This window comes from Homo sapiens, chromosome X (genome assembly GCF_000001405.40).
Source record: "Homo sapiens chromosome X, GRCh38.p14 Primary Assembly".
NCBI lineage: Eukaryota > Metazoa > Chordata > Mammalia > Primates > Hominidae > Homo > Homo sapiens.
Genome location: NC_000023.11, coordinates 9,003,968 through 9,006,407, shown reverse-complemented (window position 1 = coordinate 9,006,407; position 2,440 = coordinate 9,003,968).

Below are 2,440 nucleotides of genomic sequence, written 5' to 3'. Positions count from 1 at the left end.
GTGAAGTTAATTTACCTGATAAATGCAAAGAATTCTGAATAGTGTCTGGCTCATAATCAGTGCTAAAAATCTTTTATTTATGAGACAAGGGAAGAAATGAGGCTTCATTCTACTGAAAAAACAAACAAACAAAAATTCTAGAAATACTGCTGGAACTTGGTCCTGAAGGATGGGTATACTTTGAATATTTAGAGTCATGACCTAGGGCCTTTGTCTTTTAAACAAAGAAAAAGCACACATACATTTGGGGAAAGTGATAGAAAAAGTAAGCCATCCAGTTGGGCTCTCACCCAAGGATCCCGCAATAAAGAAGGGAGATTAAATTATAGAGGCAGTAAATGCTTTATGGAGTTTGGAATGTGTTCATTAGACAATGGTGAGTGATAGAAGGTATTTGATCAGGAGAATAGCTTAGTCAGTGCTTTGTAACAGGAAGATTAATCCTGTTGCAGAGTGCAAGCTGGATTGAAGAGGAGAGAGAGAGAGAGAGAAAGAGAGAGACATCAAAGAGACTGCACAGGATGTTATGAATATATAAAATCAGGAGACTATTGCAAAGCTAGTATGGTAGTCCAGTCATGAATTAATGGGGGCCAGAACTAAGGTAATAACAATGTGAATGAGGAAGAAAGAAAAAAATGAGATGAAGATTTGAAAGAAAGATTATCTTTTATTAGTTTTCTAGTTTCGGAAGCTAGAAATCCAAAATGAAGTTTTGGCGGGGTCATCCTCCCTCTGAAACCTGTAGAGGAGAATCTTCCTTGCTTCTCTCTGTTTCTTAGCTTCTGGTGGTTTGCTGACAAACTTTGACATCCTTTGAATTGTAGCTGAATCATTCCAAAACTCTCTCTTCATTTGGTAAAGTCTTCAGATCTTCTCCCTCTATGCAGATCTATCTTTATGTCAGATGACACCAGTCATTTTGGATTAGGGCTCATCCTAATGTGTCATTTAATTTGATTACTTCTGTAAAGACCTTTTTTTTTTTTTTTTTTTTTTTTTTGAGATGGATTCTCCCTCTGTCACCTAGGCTGGAATGCAGAGGTGGGATCTCAGCTCACTGCAACCTCCGCCTCCTGGGTTCAAGCAATTCTCCTGCCTCAGCCTCCCGAGTAGCTGGGATTACAGGCATGCACCACCACGCCTGCCTGATTTTTGTATTTTTAGTAGAGACAGGGTTTCACCATCTTGGCCAGGCTGGTCTTGAACTCCTGACTTCAGGTGATCCACCTCCCACCTCCCTCGGTGGCTCATGGCTGTGATCCCGGCACTTTGGGAGGCCAAGGCAGGCGAATCACCTGAGGTCAGGAGTTTGAGACCAGCCTGGCCAACATAGTGAAACCCCATTTCTACTAAAAGTACAAAAATAAATAAAAATAATTTAAAAAATAAAATAAGGCCACATTATGAGATACTGGAGGTTAGGATTTATATATATATTTTTTTCTTTTTTTTTTTCTTTGGAGGAGAGGGGAAGGGGATAAAATTCAAACTATATTGGTACCTAAGTCAGTATGATGCAGATCCATACTCATTATCTGCAATTACTGCATTCAAAAAAATCTGTAAGCTGAAAATTAAGTAATATCTCATTTGGCAATAAACACAACCAGTGCCAATGAAATCATATTATTGTTCTTTGTCTCACTTGATGTGAATGTGAACATAATTTTTCACAAAAAACATTGGTGCTTGAATACGTGGTGCTGCTTCTCACCCTCCTGGAAAAGTTATGTAATAAATGGTGTAGAGCTGGGGTCCCCAATCCCCATTACTGGTCCATAGCTTGCTAGAAATTGGGCTGTGCAACAGGAGGTGATCCGTGGGTGAGCACGCAAAGCTTCATCTGTATTTACAACCTCTCCCCATAGCTTGCATTACTGCCTGAGCTCTGCCTCCTCAGATCAGAGGTAACATTAGATTCTCATAGGAGCATGTGTCTTATTGTGAACTAAGCATGCGTGGGATCTAGATTGCACACTCAGTTTGACAATCTAATGCCTGATGATCTGTTGCTGTCTCCCATCACCCCCTGCAAACACTTCTACATGTGAAGTCTCAGTTGGCCAACATTTAGAGAGACGATTGGGACCCTGCCACACTTTGAATATTTTTATCCCCCCAAAATGCATATGCTTTAACCTAATCCTCAATATGGTAGTATTACAAGAAAAAACTTTCTACGATCATTGGATCATAAAAGCAGTGCCCTTTTGAATGAGATTAGTGCCTGTATAAGGAACTAAAAAGACTGGAGTTCTTCCCTTCCATCACAAGAGGCTATAGCAAAAAGCCACCATCTGTGAAGCAGCAAGTGATCCTTCAACAGACATAAAATCTGCTGACTCCTGGATCTTGGACCTCCAGAACTGTAAGAAATATCTGTTGTTTATAAGCTACACAGTTTATGGCATTTTTGTTATAGCAGCCTGAATGAACT